A 24,964-nucleotide genomic window follows, 5' to 3' on the forward strand; every position below is an offset into this window, starting at 1 on the left:
TTGGGATCAGTCAAACTCAATGCAACAGCAAATCTTCACTGAAGGTGCCAGCCTATGGGTGGACTCGTGATCTAGACCTAAAGGGTTAGTGTGAGTTCCTAGAGGAAAAGAAAGCCATGAGGCAGATTGTGGAAGGCTTTGAAGGCCAGGTGGAGGGCCTTGAACTTTATTCCATAGACAATGGGGAGCTATTGAAGGTTTCTGTGCAGGGGTGGAGTGATCTGTGTGGAGCAGTGTTTAGAAAGAATGAACAAGGCCAGGCACGGTGGCTCACGCCTGTAATCCCAGGACTTTCGGAGGCCAAGGTGGGTGGATCACGAGATCAAGAGATCGAGACCATCCTGGCCAACATGGTGAAACCCCATCTCTACCAAAAATACAAAAATTAGCTGGGCGTGGTGGCGCGTGCCTGTAGTCCCAGCTACTTGGGAGGCTGAGGCAGGAGAATCACTTGAACCCAGGAGGCAGAGGTTGCAGTGAGCCAAGATCACGCCACTGCACTCCAGCCTGGCGACAGAGCAAGATTCTGTCTCAAAAAAAAAAAAAAAAAAAAAAAAGATCAAATGTCAGCATGGGGAGAATCCAGAGGTTAGCAAGTTAAGAGGCCTCAATAATACCCCAGCAACAGCCACAAATGAATCCCTCCAGCCCCCTTATACCCAACAACTGGTCTGGTCCTGGTGGTGGGGCCAGATCCCAAGATACAGGTATATCTCATTGTATGCTAACCCCACCTCTGAAAATTAAAATGGCAAGAATCATAATTTGGTATGGGAGAAATGGTTTTATAATCGTGATGAAGGAATGTTCTCTCTTTTTTAAAAAAATTCACTATTCAGTCTGTTACTGAGTGGGGTCCCCTAAGGATGTTGAAGTTTTGTTCAAGGGTGCCACAGTTCCTTTGACACATAACTCTTCAGGAATATGTCAGTCAAGATCCTCTGGAAGTTTAAGTGCAGGGGCTGGTGACTGTTCCTGGAGGAAGGAGTGTGACTATTCGAAACAAGGCTCTAGATTGTTCTATGATGCTGGGTAGGGGGCAGGATTATATCTTTGAAAGTAGGTACCAGAGATGGTGGTGTAGGCAGGATTTAGACACAGACAAGTGGGATTCAGCTGGCACTCTTCATTACTTTGTTTTACAAAAAGTGGAAAATGGTTCTGAATCGGGAGGCTGTTTGGCAACTATAAGGAAGTAAGCTATATTGCTGGTCTTGGTGATTTAATTTTTGCTGAGAGAGAGGATATGATCCAGGTTGAGTTAATCCATAAAGTGGACTTGCTCACCAAGTCCACTGTAAGGAGATTCGTACCAGAGTTCTCTCTAGAGCCTTGATACATATGTCACTTCAGGGACAAAGCTAATGGCATGGTATCCTGAACACAGCTATTGCAGTTTGCAAATGGGGTACAGGAGGGGTTAAATTCCTCCTGAGAGACAGGTTATAAAGGAAAGACGGGAGTGTCGGAGAGACATTTCTAACCTGTGAGGAAGGCTTACACCCTTGGAGTAACTGTGGCCTCACTCAGACTGTCCCTTGGAATTTCTGCGAGAAGACCTGGGCCTGCCCCAGGAAAGGGTGGCTGAGTTAGTGGCTGATAGGCAGTCGTTGTGTCGCTGCTCTGAAGGCACCACTGACCATGTTCCAGATGCAATGGGAAATCAAATGATGGAGCAGCTCCTCCCTTGTGGGAGTTTATGCTCCAGTTGAGGAGATAAGCTTGAGAGTGGGAACCATTAGTTCACAGGCCATGATGGAGCTCAGTGTTGATGGCAGACCACAGGTGCTAAGAGAGCAGATATTTGGAAAATATAAACAATAGGCTGCCAAGAAAAACTGCAGCTGGGCCCCTCTCATGAATATCCATATAAAACTGACTTCAGCTGGTTCTTCCCATCCTTCCACATCCAGGCTCTGGTTTTGGGAAAAAAAGCAAAGACATGTCCACAGAGCGGGACTTCTTCATGAGGATGAAGTGCACGGTCACCAACAGAGGCCGTACTGTCAACCTCAAGTCAGCCACCTGGAAGGTAGGGCAACATCAGGCCTGGGTTGGAGTCCCAGGTGTAGGGTAACGGCGGTGCAGGGGATGCCTAAGGCCCTACCCCCACCCCCAGCACTCTCGGCTCCATGTCTGACCCTTCCACGCCTGTCTCAGGTCTTGCACTGCACGGGCCAGGTGAAAGTCTACAACAACTGCCCTCCTCACAATAGTCTGTGTGGCTACAAGGAGCCCCTGCTGTCCTGCCTCATCATCATGTGTGAACCAATCCAGCACCCATCCCACATGGACATCCCCCTGGATAGCAAGACCTTCCTGAGCCGCCACAGCATGGACATGAAGTTCACCTACTGTGATGACAGGTAGGGGGCCATGGGTGTGTATGCTGTGGGCAGAGATGGGTCTTACCTGTGTGTGTGGGGAGTTGTGCCTGTATTAAAGGTGTGGAACTGAACATAGACGTGGTATTGCCGGGTGCATGTTCGTGGACCTGTGCCACTGTTTCATTGCATCAGTGCCCCTCAGAGGTTCCCGGTACTGTATTTGGTGGTCTCCCATTGACAGAGCCTCAGGGTCCATCTGCAGAGCTTTCCTGGTGTGCAACTCTTCTCATCATTGTGGTGTGAACATATTTCTCCATACGTGTATCAGGCTCCTGAGGAAATTCTCAAGGCAGTCTTCTGCCCCAGGAGAAAGAGTCTAGAGACTTCCATCTGTACTCCTGCTTCAGAGGCCAGTAAGGAGCATCAGCTTCTGCCCTGGAGACTGACCCTCTTCCATTACTGACTGAGCCTTTCCCTCCGCCTTGTTCCTTCCTGCATGCAACTCCATTCCGGCCAGTGTCCAGCCATTTTGAAGAAGATGAAGGTAGCTGAGCCAGATGCTAACCCCCCAGTGCCAGGCCCAGTGTCTCTTAGGAGACACAGTAGTGATTAAGAGCATGGGCTTCAGGACTAGATGGCTTAGGTTCAAATTTAGTAATAAATGTTCAGTGTTAGCTCTTATTATCACCTTTATTAGAGTTGTTGAAAGAGTGCCTAAGACTGCTTAGGCATGTCATGCCATCTCGGGTTCTTAGCTCATTTAGAAGATTGAAGCAGGTGGGGAAGAGACTGGGGTTGTCATAGGAGGGAGTATTTAGATACCCTACAGCTCCTAACTCCCCCACCAGCCCTGCCTCTGGGACTGTGGAGCCTGATGATGGGAGGTAGGAGGAGGAAGATGGGGAGAACAGATGCCCGGAGCAATGGCCGGCCCCAGGGAGGGAAGGAAATGCAGAAGACTGGGCCCAGGGTAGGCCTGGCTTGAGTAAGCGCCACTGGGGCTTGCTGAGCAGCACCCCCCGCATGCGCCCTTCCTGGCAGAGATCTCCCTGCCTGACCTCAGCTTTCTGCAGCATCTAGAGCCGCCATGTGTCCCAGGGTGACAGTTCCTGTGGCAGCTCTTTGCCACCCCCAACTCTTTGCCACTCTTCTCTCATCTTCTAGGGTTTCTCCTCAGGAAACCCTCAGATCTCAGTTTCCCCTTCTCCAAAATAGAGATAACACTTTCTAACCTGTTTCATGGGGTCACTGTAAAATGAGATAATGGCTGTGCAAGCACTTTGAGAAGTCCAGACACCACAACACATGTGAGGCTTCTTGTTATTGCTTATATCTTACTTCCTGTCCTTGGCCTCCTCCAAAGCAAAATCTTCCACTAAACTCAAGGAGCTGAAACCACTTCTGAAGGCAGTTAGTGGCTGGGGGGCAGGAAGAGGAAGAATCTGACCCCCAGATCAGCAAGAATCTGCCTTGTCTTCCTCAGCTAGCAGGAAACCATGGAACCCCAGGAAAAAAAGCTCCTGCTCAGCCTCCCCTAGGCCTACCCACTTTTCTCTTATCAGCTGGACATCCCAAGGGCATCTGGTTTCTTCATGGGAGGGACCCTCCTCTCCAGGATGGGGTTTCTCTCCTCTGATTCCAGACCGGCCTGGTGTTGGTTGGTCGCCCCTTCTTAGAGTTGGCCACCACTTGTGGCACAATTTCAGAACTTTTGTAAAAGTATCCTTGAGTCATTCCTGTCCTTCAGTTCTGACCACAGTAGGGCCAGGATTCACAGCCTTTGGAGCTAGTGGGTAGTTATATAAGTAGAAAGAAATGCTCTAACCTCATAGGGAGAAAATGTCATGCATGAAGCCTTCCGTCCTGGAACTTCGACACAGTCACCATTTATTGTAATTGTTAGTGGTGGTGGTGGTGGTGGTGGTAGTGGTGGTGGTGGTGGTGGTGGTGGTGGTGGTGGTGGTGGTGATAATGATGGTGGTTCAAGAAGAAGATTGCACTTTTAGTGACAGGCACTGCAGGAATCCATGTTATAGGTAAGGTTATTTATCAGATGCAGTCTTTGTATTCAGGTGAACATTCTGGGCAGAAGACACAGCTTTGTGTACCTCAGTAGTCTTGTGAGATAACATGGACAATCCCACTGCATAGCCCCTGTGTCACTGGCTTTGAGGTGAAGTGGCTCAAGCCGACGTAGCCATATAGCCTGGGAGCATATATAGTGCTGGGGATGATGAAAGTCAGATACGTGCTTCACCCTGGTGAATGAAGCACATCCGTAACATAACTCCATAAGCACTGGGAAAACCCTACTGTCCTAGAAAATAACTTGGCATCCCTACATAATAGAAAAGAGATTTTTTTTAAGCTTAAGATTTTGATCCTTGTTACAGTGAGAAGAAATCCTCTGGAAGGGGTAATTCAGCCTTATCCTTTATTCATTATCTTGGTTTAAATGAGTTTCAGGTAATTTTCTGAAGGTACTAACCTTTGGACAAAAGAAGAGGGGGAGAAACACAAGGAATTGGATGTCTAAATGTGGCTGGAGAGGAAATGTACATAGAAAGGGGAAAGATGCTGTGCTGACTTCTTAGTTTGGCTCAGGGCTGGTAGCCAGAGTAGCTTCTGGCTTAAAGGAAGTATCAAGCCTCGTGATTTAGGGCTTTGTGACTCATAATGTAGAGGGTGATATTGCTTATAAGTTCTGCGAGACACACTGCATTTTCAGCAAAATCTTGCCTTTCAAGAAACCTAATTACATGGCCCCAAGTCTGAATTCAGTGGTGCTGGAGAGCTGCATGTAGAAGCATTTAAAGACATAGAATGCTGTGTCACACAGAAGTTGTGTTTAACCGATTAGCAGATTAGTTAACAAGGGCACAGACATGGCTTAGACAGTTGATGAAGTGACTATTTTAAGTCCTTAATCCCTAAGTGTTATATCTTAATTGCTTTGATGAGGCCTGAGATATTTTTGGTTTTGGTAGCTTGTTTTGTTTTCACTCTTTGTGGTGGGATGGGGAGAAGCATATGCACATGCACACATATATACACTCTCCGCCTCAATTCCCCTTTAGAGACAAATCCTGCAAAAACCAATGCCTGTCCAAGATACCTAATGGGGTGAGGGGTTCTCCATTTTAATCAGGAAATTCACTAGGTTTAATGACATCTGAGACACACAAGGTGCTGTGATTCCCACAAAGGGGATTGTTTTCCTACAAGAAAAGTTAGAATCTGAAGAAAATGTATGGCAGTTAGAATCCACAAAATCAATTTTGAAGCAGTTTGGTACTTGTCTTATATATACTGAGACCACAGACACAATCAAGCAAAAAAAGAAAAAGGGTCATGGAGAAAAAGATGAAAACCGACAGGAAAGAAGGGAGAGAAAAGACAACTCTAATTTTACATTGAACTCTCAGGTCAAATCAGTTGAATCTGAAACAACCTATTCTGAAACATCTGAAATAGAATAAAGGAATACAGATGGTTCAAAATGCATTTGTCCTCCTGTTAATGAGGGATCAGAGTACCATATTAAGTCCTGCATTAATTGTTTTTAAAATAGTAAATACTTTTAAAAGTAAATTTCATAACAATTCATGTCGGTCACATTTATGTACCTATGGTCAACTGCTCTAGACAAGGGGAGCAAGTTGAGTAGCAGGGTAAAAGAAAAATATCCTGATTATTAATGGAATTAATGATCTCTTCTTCATTTACGACTCAAACATAGGCAATATACTCTGTTTCCCGAAATACTGAGCAACCAGTTACGAACTGTCATTTACTGTGCATCTGCTATGTAACTGTGTGCCAGAGACCATTACATCAAAGTAAAAGAGATGATTCCTGATCTTCAGGAGTTGAGAGTTTGAGACATAAGCCATTTAATGAAACCACAGTGAATGGTACAAAATACAACATTCCATTTACCCAAAAGGAAGACAAAAGTTGTTCCCAAGTAGTTTAACTTTAAAATAGGGTGGTTCTTAAATTCATGTGGAGGTGCCATCTAGTGGTGAAAGAGGTAACTGTGAAGGAAGCCAAGCCGTCAGGGAGATAGAGGCCAGGCCTTTCTAATTATCATATAATCCCACTGCGATTTTGTCAGTTGTAGGAGTCTTCCTGTATCTTAGAAATAAATTATAAAACCAAATTATGTGGATAGGAGCAGTATCACCAGGGGAAGAGGTTTCAAAATTACAGTAAAAATTTCAAATCAACAAAGAGGGTCATACAATTTTTACAGGTAAAGAACTTTAGGGCAACCCTGTTTTGTCATTGCATTTAGGGAACATAGGACATATTAATATCAGGAGTTACAGTTGAATAAAGATGCCTACATTCCAAGTTCTGTGGATAAATTTATGGTGAATTGTTTTTCTACAAAGAAGTTGAGAATAAGTAAAAATGGTGAAAGTGAGGGAAACGTTGAGGATCCTAAAGATAATGTCAGTAAGGAGAACTATAAAGAGCCATAAGTGGTAAAACACACACACAACCTTCCTATGTATACTCTTACCCCTACAGGTACCCTGTAACACTCCACAGACAGGATAGAAATGGATTTCCCGTTAATTACAGAGCTGGTTGTATAGATTTCATATAACCATGTAGTATTTGAGGAAAACACAAGGCTTAAGTACTGTTTAAAGCAAACAAAATCTAGATGAAAATATATTAAAACCAACCGAAGGCACTGAAATCTGAGTTAGTGAACAGCGTACATATTAGTAAGGAAACGCAGTGTCAAAGCTTATAAGCACATATAGAAACCAAAATGAGATAAATCACGGGGTGCTGAGGAGAGGCGATGGGCAGAGTGTGGAAGGAAAGCAAGCCGACTTGAAGTATTTATTAGCAGATACATTCTTTGGAAAACAAATAGGTGGTTACAAAGTACTTAAAACTTTCATCCTCTTAAACAGTTTAAATACTCTCTCACCATCTTGCTTACATGATTAATTTACCTAGCAAATCCTTTACTCGTGTAGGGAACAGGGGTAAAAACTGCAGCCAGATCTTGCGTGACTCCAGGCGGTGGCATCTGAAGTCAGGCACCGTGGCGCTGCACCGCACGTGGACGGGTGCTGGCGATTACATGCGGGGAAGAAGAGCGAGCCTTCTCAGGCCTGTGGGTGGATTTCTTTCTGCCACTTGAGGTGGCAGCACTCACGCTGTAGCCAAGAGAATAATTTTTTTGCGAGCACTCTGCTGTAGGTGGTGTATTTTGAATAGAGCTTCTAAACAGTTTTGAGAGTAAAGAGCAATGAATCATTCATTTTACATTTTGAAGGCACATCTCACTCTGAAGTCCAGTGCTCAGAGAGCTGACCCACGTATTTACTTGGGGTAACACCAACTTCAGAATTTAACAACCCCCTTTAAAGCTGTATTTTCTATTTCCTTTCATCCTTCCTCTGCCTCCTTGTGGCTGACTATCTATCTGCATCTCTCTCCTCACTGCATCCTTGGTCTGCTGTTTTTTGACTTTATTATTAAAAAGTATCCTCTGTTCTTATGTTTGAAATCTGGTGAATTAAGTCCTTGTACATTTCTCTCTTCTCTTAGAACAGCCCTACTGAGTTGACTTTGAAATTTACGGGTGACCTCAAACTGATTTTCTTTTTCCCAGTGAGTCAGGGGTCCTTAATTAGAAAGAAAGAAAAAAAAATAGTTCCCTGGCCCCTGATGGAGAGAGCAGATGAACTTGTGTTATCACAGCCCAGCTCGGAAGGCTTGTCTGGAGCCTGGGGGAAATGAGCGGGGAAGGCCCTTGTGTGCCGTAGGAGCGACCTTATAAACAAGCTCGGTTCATTAACCTCCCCACTGGCGTCTACGTGCCTGCACGTGGGGGCGAATGACCATGAGCTTTAAGTTGGGGTTTCCTGGCTTTGTGAAGTTTGACAACTCAAATGTTCTTCAATTGTGTTTGGGATGTGGTGTATTTCCCAGTTTTTATAGTAGTCTGTTTAAAGGAATGAAGAAAGACATTAAATATTTATTTTAGTTGACAAGATAAATGAAAGCTGCTACTGGGAAGATATCTGGCAGTTCTGAAATCTAGGTTTGTTTTTCCACTTCCAAAACATGCCCATTGTATGCCTTTGAATGGATGATACATTAATTAGATAAACATTTTATTATGAGGCAGATTATAATAAACATCTACTTTGAACATTTTAATTTAAAGATTCTAATCTCGAAAGGAAATTTAATTCCTTCAGAGAGTAGAAAGACATCTTTCCTAGAATGCCAGTAGGCTCATTTTGGAGGGTCTCTAGAAAATTCTAGACCTGCCCAGGAACAGAAGCAGTTTATCTGGCAAGTCAGTGAGCCTGCAGATGGCCAGACCATTGTTAGCAGGGCTTACTCATGCAGTTCTAGTTCCCAGGCTAAGCTTGAAAGTCATCCGACCCAGCAGCGAAGCCATTTGATCGTAGGACCAGCACTGTTCTGTCTCCTTGTTCCCCCCAGTCTCCACCTTTGCCAAGGTGTACTTGGGCGCCAGCCCCAGGGTCAGGTTGCCAGATAATGTATCCATTGCTAATGAGTTCAGAGACCTCTCTGCTCAGGGCCAAGCGACGGGACAGATCCTTCTGCTCTGAGACTGGCTGGCTGGCACAAATGAGCTGCTAGGATCTCACTGGAGAAATCTCCACTGGGCTGAATCAGCTGAGACCTAAGCCTCTCAGCCCTGTTGAGCTGCTCCTTGTTTGACAAAGGCTTTAACCCCCAAATTCTCACCCAAGCAGAGAACTTGCCTCTTCTCTGCCCACTTCAAAACCAGATGACTTACAGAATGAAGAAAGGATGGATAGACTATCATGACAGGTTCTGTGTGTGTGTGTGTGCGCGTGCATGTGTGCGCACACACATTGAGACAGTTAATCATATTATTCTAGAAAAAAAAAGTAGATCCTTAGTGCCCAGGTTCCTTAGCAGTGCTGGGATAAACAGGTGTCTGTTTGTACCGTAGGTTCAAAGAGAAAATCAATCTACTGGTCAGCTGTTGAGGTTTTTACTAAGCACCCGTTATAGAGGAAGCAAAAGGAGAAAGTGGTCCCTGAGTTCAGGGGTTGACAGCCTAGGATGTGAGGAGACAAATGCATAATTTTCTGTAATATTGTGCATACTCCTTAGGACTTCACGAGAGACGTTGTGCTGGAGGAACTGGAGAGGGCTCTGTGGAGAAGATGAGGCTTTAGCTGGTCCTGGAGGTGTCAGGGCTTGGAGAAGAGGGGAGAAGAGAAGGCATAAAGCTTCTGCAGCAAGAATGAGTTTTCCAGGCATAGGGAACTGAGGGGAGAGGGGTCTTCCATGACAGAGGGTACATAACATTTTACAGATGAGTTGAAAATCAAATTGCTCAAAAGATGGAGAGTAGGTTCTGGGGGGACTTGGAAGTTACGCAGCATTTACTGTTGGTGTGGTTGGCAAAAGTGAAAGCTGTAGATACTTAAATAAGAGTATGGCAGGTTGCAAGTAGTATTTTAGGGCAATTTGGTCTGACAGATGTATGCAAGTTGACCTGTTTGGGGGGTGGGTTTAGAGCAGAGACAGGAAATGAGGAGCCACTGCTTCTGCTTTCTGCTTCTGCTTTCCTCTCCGTGTTATTGATCCCCTACAAGGATAAATTATAGGACTGTATCCAGGAGTCATGCCTTCTGAAGTAGAGTTGTAATAATGAGACTGTGGCATCACTTCTAACTTGTGATAGGCCAAGTAAACAAGACAGTGAAGCCATTATTTAAAGTCTGTGAGAGAACCAAGATTTTGAGAGATAATATGGAGGTATTATATAGCCTAGGATAGGACATGATATTGGGTAAAGCGGCCAACCTGGTGGTTCTTAGGCAGGGCTTTGTTTATTTTAGTGATTACAGCACAAAACAAAGGGTCCTAAGAATGTTAAGTGATTCTTCATGGTTCTCCACATTTGCCCTTTCCTCTGCCCACTTCCCATCAAAACCAGATACCTTACAGAATGAAGAAAGGGACACTGAAATGACAGCCAGTGGTGTCATCTGAGCTGCCTATTAGAGTATAATAAGGCACATTTCTATGACTATGATTTAATATTTCTTCCTCTCAGCACCTCCTTGCCTCCCTCGTTTCCTTGAAATGTGAGGCACAAGTAGAAAGTGTCCGAGGGCACCTGAGGTCACAGGCAGGACCTGCAGAAAAGTGAAGGTTTAAGCACAGACGGGTTCTGCCTGCCTGGACTCCCTCTCACGTGCTGGTTGACACAGAGACAAAGGTGGCTCTACCTGGGGCCACATAATTTTCATGTTTCATTTATACTGCCTTCTACTAGAATGAGCTTGATGTAGCAACTGGAGGCCCCAGTTTTCATTCTTGCTCTGTCCCTGGACACCTGTGTAGGCATCGAGCAAATTGTCTGCCCGTCCTGGATGTCTACTCCCTCATCTGCAAAAACTTGGGGTGAGCCCCTTCCAGTGGTTCTTGGAGAACAGACATATGTGTGTACCGGGGTGGTGGGGAGAGGGAGTCCTCAGAACTGGTGCTTTTCTCTCCTCCCAAACATGGCTTCAGGAAGGGCAGGAACAACAGGGGTTTGGTTAAACCTGCAACTGTAGATTGAGCACAGTGTTCTTTTGCTTGGATACATGGTACAACAAGAAAGTCTGGATTGTGTTCATCTGCATGTGTGTGTTTGATTTGCCTTCTGGGGTTAGCTCCTGCCCACATGCTGTGCTAAGTTAATATGGTCTTTCTTCCTTACATGCTGCCTTTTTAAAAACTCAGAATCACAGAACTGATTGGTTACCACCCTGAGGAGCTGCTTGGCCGCTCAGCCTATGAATTCTACCATGCGCTAGACTCCGAGAACATGACCAAGAGTCACCAGAACTGTGAGTTCCAGGAGTGCCCCTTGTGGCTTCCTTGTGTCTGTGGTATGTGGCCTTGAGTGGGGTGTGACTGGTGAGACAGAAGACCAGGTCACTTCCTCCACAGAGCTGCTGTCTTGTGTGGCAGACAAGACTTATGCCCTCAAGATGGTTAGAAAACCAAGGCTGCCACCAGCCTATAGACTCCTTCGTGCAAATTAGAAAAAGGACACTTCCTCCAGGGAGATGCACCCGTGCCAAGGTGCACAGCTGAGGCAGTGGAGGGTGGGTTGAGTCTCAGTCCCCCATACCACCTCCACGGAGTGCCTGTGTGCAGTCAGTGGTTTGCACACCTTGTGGAACAGCACTGTAGAGAGTAAAATAATTCAACATATCATCAACTTGGGTGCATGCTATAGATTCAAGTACATACATTCACAGAAGAGGAGGGCAGGGGGAGTTGAGGAAAGGACACTTGAGTTGGACCTTGAAGGATCGGGGAGGCTTAGGCTGAACAGAGGGGAAAGTATTACGGGTCCAACTTAACACATATGTTGAGGTAGGCCACAGTTCTCAGAGAGCTTGCTTGCTGGATCAAGGGAGCTTTAGAAAAGGCTGTCCAGGCAACCCAGGGATGGCGTATGGAAACTCTGCTTTGCAGTTTGAAAGAAGCCTGAGTTATGTAAGGACTCTGGAAGAGGGCTGCCACATAGAACTTTCTGCAGTGGAAATGTTCTTGAAATGTGGCTAGAGAAACCGAGGAACTGAACTTTATACAATGTAGTTTTAATTAATTTAAATGTAAATATCCACACTTGGCTTGTAGCTACCATATTGGACAGAGAAGTTCTAGAGTGTATCCTTGGCCATGTTCCCAATTCAGGCTTCCTATAGGCAGGTGATCCAGGACCGTTCCCTTGAATCCATGCGACTCATCACTGTGCAAGGGCTCTGGGCCTATAACCCTGTACTTGGCCCACTGGGGGTGATATAAATTGGTAGAATTGATTCCTGCCCTAAGTGACCTTATTTCTGAGGAAAAAAGAGGACCGTGGGCTCCTTGGGAACAAGGGGCTCATATCTTTAACCTCAGTATCTAGCATAGCGTCTGGTACAGAACAGGCACTAAATGCACTATATAAACCGATGGGCAAGACTGTATTTGGAAAAGAATGCTTCAAAACGAGTGCCCACAGTGGTGCAGACAGTGGTGCTGAGAGGATTATGGGAGGATTAAAAACGGGTAAAGTAAGTCTGAGAAGATTCCCAGTGGCCCTGCTGGCAATGGAGAAAACGGAAGGGCAGCCATTTGTCCATGGCTCCTAAATCCACCCATCTACCCCAAGGCTAAGACAGCCAAGTTCAGTGCAGCCAGCAGAGTCACAACCCCGCAAGCTGTATGTGAACATGGTTAACCCACTCTTAAGGAGTGAGATCTTTCTTTTCTTTTATTGGTTCCTCTGCCTCTTCCTCATGGCTTTTGGGTTTGATTTGACAGTACAACAGGGCCCATTATGATATCTCAGAGAAGTTTCTCACTGTGCTCTCTGGCAAAACACACACGCGCACACACAGACACACACACACAAACAACCTAGATTCAGCCCCACTCAGGAACCCAGAGATGGGGTAGGAGTGGAGGTACTCTTTTATGCCTGTGAATGTGACCCCACCTTAGCCTGCCCAAGCTTTGAAATTGTAACATCTGGTTCCAGCCTTCCCTTTGGGATTCCTTCATGCTTCCTGGTCCCTGAGGGGTTCCTGTTTTCAAAGGCAGGTGACAGAATCATCCAGGCACTGGGACTTAGCGGCCCAGGCTCTGGCCCAGCCGACCCACTGATTCCCTAGGGCCTGGATTTCTGGACCTTCCTGACTTTAGATGTAAAACTGGGGAAAAGTCTAGCCTTCCTTCCAAGCTAAGGGTGAAGCCAAGGCAAGAGACAAATGTAAAAATTTCTGGGAATTCTTGGAGGACAGTATTACCTTTTATCTTGTAGGATGGGAAAGCAGAAGAAGCTACTGTCAAAGGAAAAAAAAATTGTGACTTCTGACTAGGCATATAGAAAGGATTTTCCCTCTTGTTCTTCTTAGAACATCTTCAATCCATAAAAAGGGCTAGGATAAAAATGGTTTATGTTTTCTGCTGACTCTAGGGAAAATAAGGTGCTTTTTACTGAATCCGTGTATTTACTTATTAGGCACACTGAAAGGTAACTCACAGCCCAAATAGAAATCACAGGCTCTCTCTCCCCTTGATGGAGCCAAGTAAAGCTGCCCTGAGCTCAGAAACCCATAGCTAGCAAAGGGACAAACCCATAGCTAGCCAAGGGAAATCTGCTTGGGTTGGAAATTGGATTAATGACAGTTATGACACGAGCTTGCCCCTTGCCCCCGACCCCTGTCTCTCATTCGTCCTTGAGGTTTTGCAAGTCAAGTTTCACTACAGACTGACACACATGCTCTAGACTAACTGGAGGCTCAGGTTTGAGACAGGTCCAGATTCACACACTGGGATCCCCCATTTACACACATGTATGTCTTAGCCTGTAAAGGTTTACCGTTGAAATGCCTGGAGAAGCTCAACTAGATTTAGATCATTGAAAGCTGTAATTTCCAAATGGATTAATAATTTATACACTGTTACTCTGGGCGTGAGGTTAGGGGTCAGTCTCCCTTTGTTATATGAGGATATTATGTGCTTTTAGGCTTTTTATGGCCTTTAATCTTATTTTCCTATCTATTAAGTAGCAGGCCCTTCACCAAGGCTGGCATTAATGACCAGATGATTAGAAAGCTGGCGTTAATTATATTCTACTGACAGAGCAGGCCCTTGCCTGCAATTGTTAGAAATGCACTTAAAACCTTTGCTTGCTGCACTGTTTGATCAAAAAGAGTAAGAGCCCTGAATTTGGTTTGCATTAAGGACCATCTAAATAAGTTAAATACAGGCACTTGAAATTGTGCAAGAATCATTTTACTGCAGCAGAGGAGCCTCAGTGGCACAGATAAAGGGAGAGCAGAGAGGACAAAAGTTATTTCCTTGGTTGAGTCCATGATGGTTTAGGACAGCGGCAACAGCAAGTTTGGTCTTCCCAGTGATTTGTGGACCCAGGTAATAAAGAGACCATTGTATTAGGAGCCACCAGACATGTTGTGTAGCTCAGACTCTGTCACTATTGTCTTGTAAGCTGTGAAGCAAATCATAACCCTCTGGCCTTAGTTTCCTCATGTTAAAAGAAAATACTTATCCTCCCTGTGGCACAGGGTTTTGTTTAAAAGATTAGACAAGATGATACAACCATTTTGGAAATAATTTGGCAGCTTCTTATAAACATATACTTTACAGGTAAGCCAGCAATTGCACTCCTAGCTGCACCCACGAGAAATGAAAATATGTCCATACAAAGATTTATACACAAATGTTTATAGCAGCTTTATTCATAATAATCAAAAACTGAAAACAACTCAAACATCCATCAACAGGCAGATGGATAAACAAATTATGGTATGTCCATGCAACGGAATACAACTCACTGATGAAAAGGAATAAACCACAAATGCCTGCAACGCCATGATGAATCTCAAAACATGCTGAGTGTAGAGAAGCCAGACACAAGAGTAGATACTCCTATACAATTCCACTTACATGGAAATCTAGAAAAGACAATTCGAATATATAGTGGCAAAAAGCAGAAGAGTGGTTGCCTGGAACCAGGGTGGGAATGAAGATTAACTGCCCAGAGGCATAAAAAATGGGGTGGTGGGGGCGGTGATGGAAAAGTGCTATGCCTTCACTGTACCTTTGTCAAAACTTGTTGAACTGTATACTTCAAATGGGTGTGTGTTTTATTGAAGGTAAATTTGACCCCAATAACATTTATTTTTAAAAATTAAGAGCAAACAGAAAAAGCTTAGACTAGGAATCTTTAATTTGAACTATAATTCTGTCTACTGTTTCCACTGAGGTGGTCTTTCAGCAAATGACTCAGTAGTTTTAAGCCTCAGTTTCTTCAGCTGTAAAGTGGGAATAACAACAGGCACCCCATGGTGTTGCCTATGAAATGCAGTGATGATGACCTAATCCTTAGTGAGCGCCCTATGTGCCAGGCACTGTGCTGAATGCTTTGCAGAAACGAATTCATCTTATCAGATAGTTCTGAACACTGCAAAGCACTATACAAATGTAAGTTACAGGAATTCTTGCACTTTGCAGGTGCTTGTTAAATTGTGAAGAAGAAAGCAAAACATAAGTGTAAAGGATTACCAAACTGCACTAGTATGAAGAGAGCCATGTTCCTCAGCTGTACAGGGCTGATGAATGGGGAGGAGGCCTGCGAGCCTACCAGGAGAACCGGGGAGACTCTCTGTCTACCGAGAGCCTGGATATCCTCCCGAGTGGCCCCTCATGAGACTATCTACCAACGTGTAACAGACTGTCTGTGACAGGCCATGGGCATAATATGTATTAGTATCTCTAAGAAAGAGGTGGCTTTTCCTATACAAAATTTGTTGGTGACAGTTGGTCAACACTTATGTACCTGATAAGCCATGTGGGTACAGTCGATCCTCAGTACAAATGGCAGTGGTATGCTGGGTAGCTAATGATGACAGTTATTACCGTTACTACTATTATTATCAATATCCTGTTTTGCAGAGGAGGAAACCAAAACCAAGAAGGATTGTTCCTTTCCCCAAATCCCAAGCTAGCAAGATTTCCCGATCCTCCCTCCATGCCCTTTCCTAACGTCTCTGTGATTTGGGAGCTTCTGAGCTGGAGTTCTGTAAATTCCCAAGGAATGGGCAGTTCAGAAAAATACCAAAAATTCTAACATTATTAGACTTTAAAGAGATTTATTGATTCCTTTTGAATGGCAGCAGATGGAACATTCTGGACTGGGGAAGGACAGTCTGTGATGTGAAACCCTTCCCCAAGGTAGACAACAAAAGCGTTTTTTAAATGAACACTTAGTAGAACAATCTAGAAGAGGAAAAACCTCATAAGTAGGAAGCCTAGCTGGGCGGTTGGGAGAAGGAGTATAAGTGATTTATTACAGCTTATGAAGAGACTGTGTGTGGGCTGCCAGGGTCCCAGCTCTTTCTCAGCCCCAACTGAGAAAGGGTGGGGTGGTTTGCCTCTGCCTTTGCTGTGGGTCACAAACCTTCAGTGGCCCAAAAGGTGGCAAGCCTGACAGATGACCTGGAGAAATCAAGGATATCAATGTTTTAAATGCTTTTATTCATAAGCAGGGTATTGGTGGTGGGTCTGCTGAAAAAAAAAAACAAAAAAAAACAAAAAAAACTGCCCTGAGGTCAGGCTTTCTCCAGGCTGCTTAGAAGTCCCCCCACCTGGAGTGCTTGACGGGATGGCGCTCCTTACCCAGTGTGAAGGGGCTTCTTCTCATTGAACCCCATGAAGAAAGTAAGGCAGGTTCTGGACTTGGTTCTGCTTATAGCTGAGCTGGTCTGTGAGCCTGACTTGTCCAGGGATTGGTGATGGGCCACTGCAAAGCTGCATAGTGAGCGGGTCCCTCCCTCAGTAGACAGCCTTGGGCAAGTCATTTCACCTCTTCTCACCTCTTTTTCCTATATTTAAAATGAAGAGTTGGCTGAGGTGATCCCTAAGCTCCCTCCCAGGTCACTCTCCCTGGTCCTCACTGTCGTGGCGCCCTGTTCTGTCTGTTCCCCTGCAGATTAGACTGCCCTCCCATGCGATCTGCTGAGCCTGTGGTGCACACCCCTGCCCCACCTCCCTAAGCTCAGCTCTGTTTCTCCTCCCCTAGTGTGCACCAAGGGTCAGGTAGTAAGTGGCCAGTACCGGATGCTCGCAAAGCATGGGGGCTACGTGTGGCTGGAGACCCAGGGGACGGTCATCTACAACCCTCGCAACCTGCAGCCCCAGTGCATCATGTGTGTCAACTACGTCCTGAGGTAAGCATGTGAGGGCTGGCGGGCCTTGGTGCAGGGTATGTGGGGGTGCCCAAGCTTCCCAGACTCAGGATGACAGGCCTAGGAGATGCCAGGCCTCTCAGCGCCCTGGGCACCACCTCAGGGAGGTCTTGCAGGGCTAACCCTAGTGACTGAGAGGACTTCCTGTGGATGTCTTGGAACAGTGGGATACTGGGTTGGGATTTTTTTTTCTGCGCTTTCCCTGGCATCTGTCATTTATGCCATGCATCTGACCCAGGTGGGGAGGCAGATAGCACACAATAGTCAATATTTTCTGAATGGGGAAAAAGGAAAGAGAATCGCTTATGCTTTTGGGAAAAAAAAAAGATGTCATGCCTTCACTCTATAGTACCTGGAAAGAAAGCTAGAGGAAGTCATTTCTAGTTGTTTCTACAGACAGAGAAAAACAAAAGCATCAGGCCTCATATATACCACCCCACTCAAGTGCAATAATATTTAATAAAACAGGATCCGAAACAGACATACATTCAGAGGATACCTCTGTTGTCACTACCTCCATGGCTCACACACTTCTATTGTATGGTTCTTTATAAGACGCCAATGCCTGGAGTCCTACCCATTTTTTGTCGGAGAGCTTAGCTATGAGGGTTTCCATGCATCTAGGGGAGCAGAATTTTTCTAGAAAATGTGGAAAGTCTGAATGGCTCTTTCCCCCCCATTAGTGAGATTGAGAAGAATGACGTGGTGTTCTCCATGGACCAGACTGAATCCCTGTTCAAGCCCCACCTGATGGCCATGAACAGCATCTTTGATAGCAGTGGCAAGGGGGCTGTGTCTGAGAAGAGTAACTTCCTATTCACCAAGCTAAAGGAGGAGCCCGAGGAGCTGGCCCAGCTGGCTCCCACCCCAGGAGACGCCATCATCTCTCTGGATTTCGGTGGGTGCTTCTTAGCTAAGCCAGGCCCCTGGAACCCCGTTGGGGCTGGGAAGAGTTCTTACTATAACAGGCCTCCCTGGCTGCAGCTTTTTCTTAACCAGAGCTACCCCAGCCCCCCAAGTCTTGTTAATCACCTGTTAGAGGCCAGGCCCTGCTGAGCACAAAAGAACACCACACGCTCCTGCCCTGATAAGACCATCCCATATCCGACCTCACCAAGTGCTGTACGAGGAGGGGTTAAGAGAGGACACCCCCCTGAGGGTCGATTCTCCACCATGGGTGGTGAGAGTCTGAGATGAGAGGGAGGGGAGAGGTGAGGGATCTGCTCCGAGGCCACTTGGACACTGTCAAAGAGAAGGGGCAGATTCCTACCAGGGTCTGGAAGGACAGATGGCTTGTTCAGGCAGAGGGCCAAGTTGGAGTAATGTTGGGAAGGATCATTCCAAAAACACAGAGAACATATTGAGGCCTGGGATTAAGCCCTCAAACCCACGACTTCATTAAAGTGTCTGCCTGTCCCTGGGGATGTAAGTCACTGGGGACCCCGGCAGGGTTTTCAGCCCTCGGCTGCTCCAATCCTGGAAACACCCTTGAAGCCCCATGCTCCCCAGTTCGCAACCCGCTGCCACCCTCTCCTGGCCTTGCTGTGGCTGCCGGAAGAGTGGTGCTCACCCTGGACTGTGTCAGCCCCTTTTAGATGGGTTCTACAGCGGCCACGTGAGGATTGCAGCTAAAGAGAATCTGAAACGCAGCGGGCCCTTGGCCAGTAGGTCTCGCGGCTTGTTTTGTGGCAGTACTGAGGCAAATAGCTCAATAGCCCAATTCTCCTCTCCCTCTCATACCTTCCTTGTCTACCCTTCCGGATCTGTTCCTCAGGGAAGAGTGGCTCCTAATATATTTAGTCTCTGAAAATTAAATGTCCCAGGAGACTGTTCCGTTTAAAGGGAGTCTCTACGTTGACTCATAGCCAGAGTCAAAGACCCATGTGTTCCAGCTGAGCCCCAGGGTGTTGGGGGGGCCTAGCCCCAGGCATGCCTTCCAGACCCTCTTAGGGCCTTCTCTGCGGTTTTTGGGCCTCCTCTGCCTTGGGGTGAGCCCGATGGTTGTGGGTGTTCACCTCCCAGGCCCTTGTCTCCACAGGGAATCAGAACTTCGAGGAGTCCTCAGCCTATGGCAAGGCCATCCTGCCCCCGAGCCAGCCATGGGCCACGGAGTTGAGGAGCCACAGCACCCAGAGCGAGGCTGGGAGCCTGCCTGCCTTCACCGTGCCCCAGGCAGCTGCCCCGGGCAGCACCACCCCCAGTGCCACCAGCAGCAGCAGCAGCTGCTCCACGGTGAGCAGCCCTCTTATGGCGAGGACACAGAGAGGGCTCCGTATGTATGACTGCTGCCAGATGGCTGAAGGGACATTTGGGACAGGTACTGTCCTTCTCAGGTTATCACAGAGCCCCCTAGAGTGGCCGTGACACTTACCTACCAGGTATCAGAGCTGTTTTCTTCCTTTTAGTGTTCATCCCCCAACTCCATTGAAATAAGCTCCTTGAAGGGCTTTGAGCCCCCAGCTCAGTCCCCATACAGGGCAGTAACATCCCGTATGTGGCACAGAGCTGCACAGTTTGCACAGCCCTGCTGGCCACAGCCTGTATCCTGTTTGGTCCTCAAGACAGGACAACCTGTGAAGCGACAGTAGCCTCATTTTATGATGAGGAGACTGGAATTTAGAGAGGTTGATGAATTGACCTAATTCATACAGCTTGTTAATTAGCAGCCCCTCTACAAATAGTTGTGTGGTGGAATGGAATTGAACCTTTGGGTCCAGGAAGGTATTTCTTCTTCCATGCTGGACTTCTGGGGAGACCAGTGCCATATCTTTGACTCTGTCCCCCTCCTTCCTGGCCCCTAGCCCAATAGCCCTGAAGACTATTACACATCTTTGGATAACGACCTGAAGATTGAAGTGATTGAGAAGCTCTTCGCCATGGACACAGAGGCCAAGGACCAATGCAGTACCCAGGTAGATGGCTGTGGAGATCAGGCTAGGGTGTGTGCCTGCTGTCTGGTGGACAGCAAAGGCTCACATCCATTCTTGTAGCCTCATCCCTTTGTTGTAAAGAGCAGTGGAGACGTTTGGCCAAGGCCCAGGTCCCCTAAAGAGGTAGGGGTACAGGGTAATGGAGCCTGTGGTCACCCCCTCCTCCCACTGTCAAATCCAGCTCTTCCAGCATATGTGTCTCCTACTTAGATAGCTTTCTTAGCACACATGAAAACCGAAATGATACCACTGCACCTTTCTTTAAACAGGCCCTACATTTAACAAGCATAGCCAGATGTATAAAACATGTATAAACATAGGGGACAATTAATCCCTTTATAAACACATTCATCTTGTGATTTTAAAAAAATAATCATTTTTATATGAAATGCACTTTAAAATAAATAACATCTGTTTGACAATTTTTCATTTACATAAAACTTTTCAGGAACACATTTATTACATAAGGCCAATGTTCTTGCAAAAACTATGTAAACAAGGATAAGGTAGAGGGAGGGGTACGTGTTTTACAAAACCCCAGGGAAAACCATTAATCCCCCATTTGTCTTAGTCTTGAGTTCAACCAGATTTCTGCCTTGCCACTTAGTTTGTTTCTTGATCCTACTTGGCACAAATCCCAGCTACTCTGCAAAACATGCCCAATTTTAGCTTTTCTATCACCCTCCCTCCTCAGCACTCCTGTAGTATATATCATGTGGCACTTAATCACAGCTATCTGCTTCTGCTCCTTAAAGATTGCTTAGTATTGCAGTCATTAGTCAGCTGACACCCACTGAGGGTGTCAGTCTCTGAAGTTAGAAACTGTTTTCCGCATCTGCTTGTATTCCCCTGCTTGTATCATGCGTCCGTCATGATACTGCCACCCTAAGGGATGATCTGAGTATCTGCTGATTGGAACCAAAGTCTCTGTCCCTGGGGTCTGGCTGTTAGGCTGTTACTCTGCGAGAGTCCACAGATGGACCTGGGCACTTACTGCTTGCTTAGGCCCGTGCCAGCTTACAGGAGGGAGAAGAGGACAAAAAAAAGCCACAGTGTGCACCACAGGCCTAAGCATTGTAGGACAAGGATAACCACCACAGGCTGGAGTAGGCAGGGCTGACTCTGTGGAAGAGGGGCTGCCTCGGCTTCAAGAGAGAAGGCGGGCTCCGGACAGGTGGGATGGGGAGAGGAGAACATTTCTCAATGTGCAGGGTGAAGAGGGGATAAACATGGGGGAAGGCTGGTACATGATACAAGGTCGTGTACATGACACAGCCAAGTCTGAGGTTTTCCTGATAGGCCCTCGGGAGCCAGTGGAGGCGTTTGAGCAGCACTGTGAAACAGTGCTTGAGATGAATGGCTCTGCAGGAGCTGAGTTGGAATAGTGTTTGTGAGGTCGTACCAACCCCCTTGCCTCTTTGCCGGTGCTGTCTCCCCTCAGACGGATTTCAATGAGCTGGACTTGGAGACACTGGCACCCTATATCCCCATGGACGGGGAAGACTTCCAGCTAAGCCCCATCTGCCCCGAGGAGCGGCTCTTGGCGGAGAACCCACAGTCCACCCCCCAGCACTGCTTCAGTGCCATGACAAACATCTTCCAGCCACTGGCCCCTGTAGCCCCGCACAGTCCCTTCCTCCTGGACAAGTTTCAGCAGCAGCTGGAGAGCAAGAAGACAGAGCCCGAGCACCGGCCCATGTCCTCCATCTTCTTTGATGCCGGAAGCAAAGCATCCCTGCCACCGTGCTGTGGCCAGGCCAGCACCCCTCTCTCTTCCATGGGGGGCAGATCCAATACCCAGTGGCCCCCAGATCCACCATTACATTTTGGGCCCACAAAGTGGGCCGTCGGGGATCAGCGCACAGAGTTCTTGGGAGCAGCGCCGTTGGGGCCCCCTGTCTCTCCACCCCATGTCTCCACCTTCAAGACAAGGTAAGTGGCAGATACTCAGCTGTACCAGCAGGGCCGAACCGAGAGGCACCCACTAGTAAGATAGCTGGACCCCCAGGGAGGCCCCTGCCCCTCTCCCCAGCCATCTGATACCCCATTTAGCCCTTCTCTGAGCTCAGACTTTGGGGAATCACCTCAAGCCATGTGAGGCCTAGTGTAGGATGGGTTTTTATCTGGGCTGCCACTGAGGGCAGGCAAAGAAGTGGCTTGTTGAGAGCCCTGTACCTCAGTGTCTCCCTTCGGACCACCACCAGAGTGCCTTTCGTATCTCGGTTCATCATCTGAGCCACACAGAAAATTGAGTGATGATTTTCCCTGGTTGAAAACAGCAAAAAGATACCCCTGCCTCCCCTTGCCTTTTGGCTGCCCCCGGGTCCTCGCCACTGCAGCCTCTCCCAGCTGTGCCTAGGCTCCAGAAATGCCTTCCCATCTCCCCAGCATGCTCATTTCACCAGCTGCGAGCTCACTGGGCTAAGGCACAGGGGTTGGTACATGACCTGCCACTCCCAGGGGCCGCTGGTACTTGCCCTTTATAGAGCAGCCAAACTAGTTTTCAGTGGGAGCAAAAGGCAGAGGAGAGACATGGGCAGAAGAAACCCTCCTAAGGACTAACATTGCCCAGCCAGGCAGCCATCCCCCAGACCAGGAGGCTTGAGCCCTTCAGCATCTTATAGCTGAGGAAGGAGACAGAGCTCGAGCTCGGCCTGCAGGTGCACAGCCTGCCTCTGAGACTCTGCCTTTTGGGTCTTTGAGTCATCACAGGCATCAGCATTGGGACTGGAAGGGCCCCTAAGATGAGAAGGCACTGAGTGGCATGTGGCTCCAGACTCCCTCATAGCCTGCTCTCTCGGGCTTGGCAGGTCTGCAAAGGGTTTTGGGGCTCGAGGCCCAGACGTGCTGAGTCCGGCCATGGTAGCCCTCTCCAACAAGCTGAAGCTGAAGCGACAGCTGGAGTATGAAGAGCAAGCCTTCCAGGACCTGAGCGGGGTGAGTCATCCCCACTGGCCACAGGGGCCTCTCCATAGCCCTTAGGGAACCCAGGGCTGCTGAGAGGGGTGGGGATGTGGCCCTTCCAAGCCAGCATAGCCCTTAGGGAACCCAGGGCTGCTGAGAGGGGTGGGGATGTGGCCCTTCCAAGCCAGCAAGTGCCAGCCCTGTTCCAGGCCCACCCAACCCACCCAGTCTGGGGACCTGGTTCTCTGGCCATTTCCCCTTTCCATCTGCCCTTCTTACTCCCAGGGGGACCCACCTGGTGGCAGCACCTCACATTTGATGTGGAAACGGATGAAGAACCTCAGGGGTGGGAGCTGCCCTTTGATGCCGGACAAGCCACTGAGCGCAAATGTACCCAATGGTGAGCAGCGGCCACAGGCCTGGGCCTCCTGGGGGTTCTGGTGGAAGGACTGGGGCTCGGGAGCCCATCCTGGTTCTTCCATTCACCACAGGCCGTACCTGCCTCTCTGAGCCTTGTTAGAATGGGGCGATGTCCTCTGTCTCTCCCGCAGTCCCACACACCCAACTTTTCCATCTCCACTCTGACTTAGATGATGCCATCAGAGGGTCCTGAAGGTTGGCTGTAGTTCTGGTGACTCTGAGCACCTTTTATAAAGGAAAGGGATGCTAGGGCTTCCTGGCCTCTCCCCTCCCTCAGGCCAATGCTACCGTCACTCTCTGACTTTGGTCTTTCAGATAAGTTCACCCAAAACCCCATGAGGGGCCTGGGCCATCCCCTGAGACATCTGCCGCTGCCACAGCCTCCATCTGCCATCAGTCCCGGGGAGAACAGCAAGAGCAGGTTCCCCCCACAGTGCTACGCCACCCAGTACCAGGACTACAGCCTGTCGTCAGCCCACAAGGTGTCAGGTGGGTGTGCCCAGGATCTGTCACCCCCATCCCAGGATTCGATGCCAGGGGAAGCCCACGTCTACTTTTTTTCCAGCGTCTGCACAGTGCCAGGCACAGGGAGGTGCTTGACTTGAAGTCACCTATACAGGGCTCAGGTCTCCTTGGATTTAGGGAACCTCCTCACAAGTTCCTTGTGACATCAGTGATCAGGCCCCCCAGTGGGTGGGTCTGAGACACAGCTAAAAAACTCAAACTCAGGCTAGAATACTGAAGGAAAGAATGCAGACCACTACCGACTGCCCAAAGAGGACTGAACACTGAACACTGGGTTGGCGACCCCCAGAACACTGTACCACTGTTGACAGGAGCACTTTCAGAAGAAAGAGCAGGCGGCCACAGTGGTGAGGGCCTGTTGAAGAAGAGAAGAGAAAGTTCAGAGAGAGAGAGTTGGGAAGCGGTCTGGGCAGAGGCAGGGGATCTCCCGTCTATGCAAGGATGAGCTTGCTGCGTGGAGAAGGGAGTGCTCCTTCCCTGGGGCTTTAGGGAGAACCCTCCCATGATCAGGTGCCATCCAGGGCTCTTTCCACCCTGAGAATCCCGGAGCCTTGCCCCTTCCTCAGTTCTTCATGTGGATGTGTTTTGGGGTGTCACTCTGAGTTCAGGCAGGTGCTGAGAACATGCCAAAACTTCCTTCAGGTAGAACAGCCTGGAAAGCTCTGGTAGGCCCACCCCACTGGACTTGGTTCAACTGCAGGCACCAATGCCTGCCTTCAACCCTGGGCCACCTTCATCTTGACAGTATCTTGTGAAACATATATGTCTTCATGAGGTTTGTTTGGCCTGAAAATAATTCGTGGTTTATGGAAAAACATACCAGGCCCCTGTTCTAAAAGGCAATTTCCTCAGCAATAGAGTTTGGGGAAGGTTATAGTTCTGTGCTTCAGAGTCCAGGCTGTAGAAACACCAGACAGCCCTGGCTTAAATTCTGGCTCTGCTGTTGAGTTCAGGGGCTGGTATATATTTATGTGCAGTAAGAGGTAGCCAGCACTATTCTTCCTGTTATGTGAAGCCCACGAATTACCTTGAATATTGAAATCAAGGGAAAATC

The 24,964-nt window shown here is 47.7% G+C and overlaps 1 protein-coding gene across 2 annotated transcripts in view, besides 1 other annotated feature; it reads left to right on the forward strand.

Annotated features, from left to right (window-relative positions):
- Positions 1 to 24,964, forward strand: part of EPAS1 (endothelial PAS domain protein 1) — an 89,291-nt gene that overhangs the window by 61,318 nt on the left and 3,009 nt on the right. For both annotated transcript variants that reach the window (NM_001430.5, XM_011532698.3), the window contains exons 5-15: positions 1,914 to 2,032; positions 2,161 to 2,366; positions 11,103 to 11,209; positions 16,966 to 17,113; positions 17,815 to 18,029; positions 19,170 to 19,363; positions 19,933 to 20,043; positions 21,503 to 21,993; positions 22,872 to 22,998; positions 23,251 to 23,365; positions 23,701 to 23,874. In NM_001430.5, the coding sequence (NP_001421.2) occupies positions 1,914 to 2,032; positions 2,161 to 2,366; positions 11,103 to 11,209; positions 16,966 to 17,113; positions 17,815 to 18,029; positions 19,170 to 19,363; positions 19,933 to 20,043; positions 21,503 to 21,993; positions 22,872 to 22,998; positions 23,251 to 23,365; positions 23,701 to 23,874 (2,007 nt within the window). The remainder of the gene's footprint in view (positions 1 to 1,913; positions 2,033 to 2,160; positions 2,367 to 11,102; positions 11,210 to 16,965; positions 17,114 to 17,814; positions 18,030 to 19,169; positions 19,364 to 19,932; positions 20,044 to 21,502; positions 21,994 to 22,871; positions 22,999 to 23,250; positions 23,366 to 23,700; positions 23,875 to 24,964) is intronic.
- Positions 1,723 to 2,922: an enhancer, noted in NCBI's record as "BRD4-independent group 4 enhancer chr2:46587586-46588785 (GRCh37/hg19 assembly coordinates)". NCBI's record gives its function as "activates an origin of replication core promoter dependent on BRD2, P300/CBP, MED14 and CDK7 cofactors, and independent of BRD4, by STARR-seq in HCT116 cells {active_cell/tissue: HCT116}" and the evidence as "EXISTENCE:reporter gene assay evidence [ECO:0000049][PMID:35650434]".

The sequence above is a fragment of the Homo sapiens genome, chromosome 2, assembly GCF_000001405.40.
Source record: "Homo sapiens chromosome 2, GRCh38.p14 Primary Assembly".
NCBI classification, from domain to species: Eukaryota; Metazoa; Chordata; class Mammalia; order Primates; family Hominidae; genus Homo; species Homo sapiens.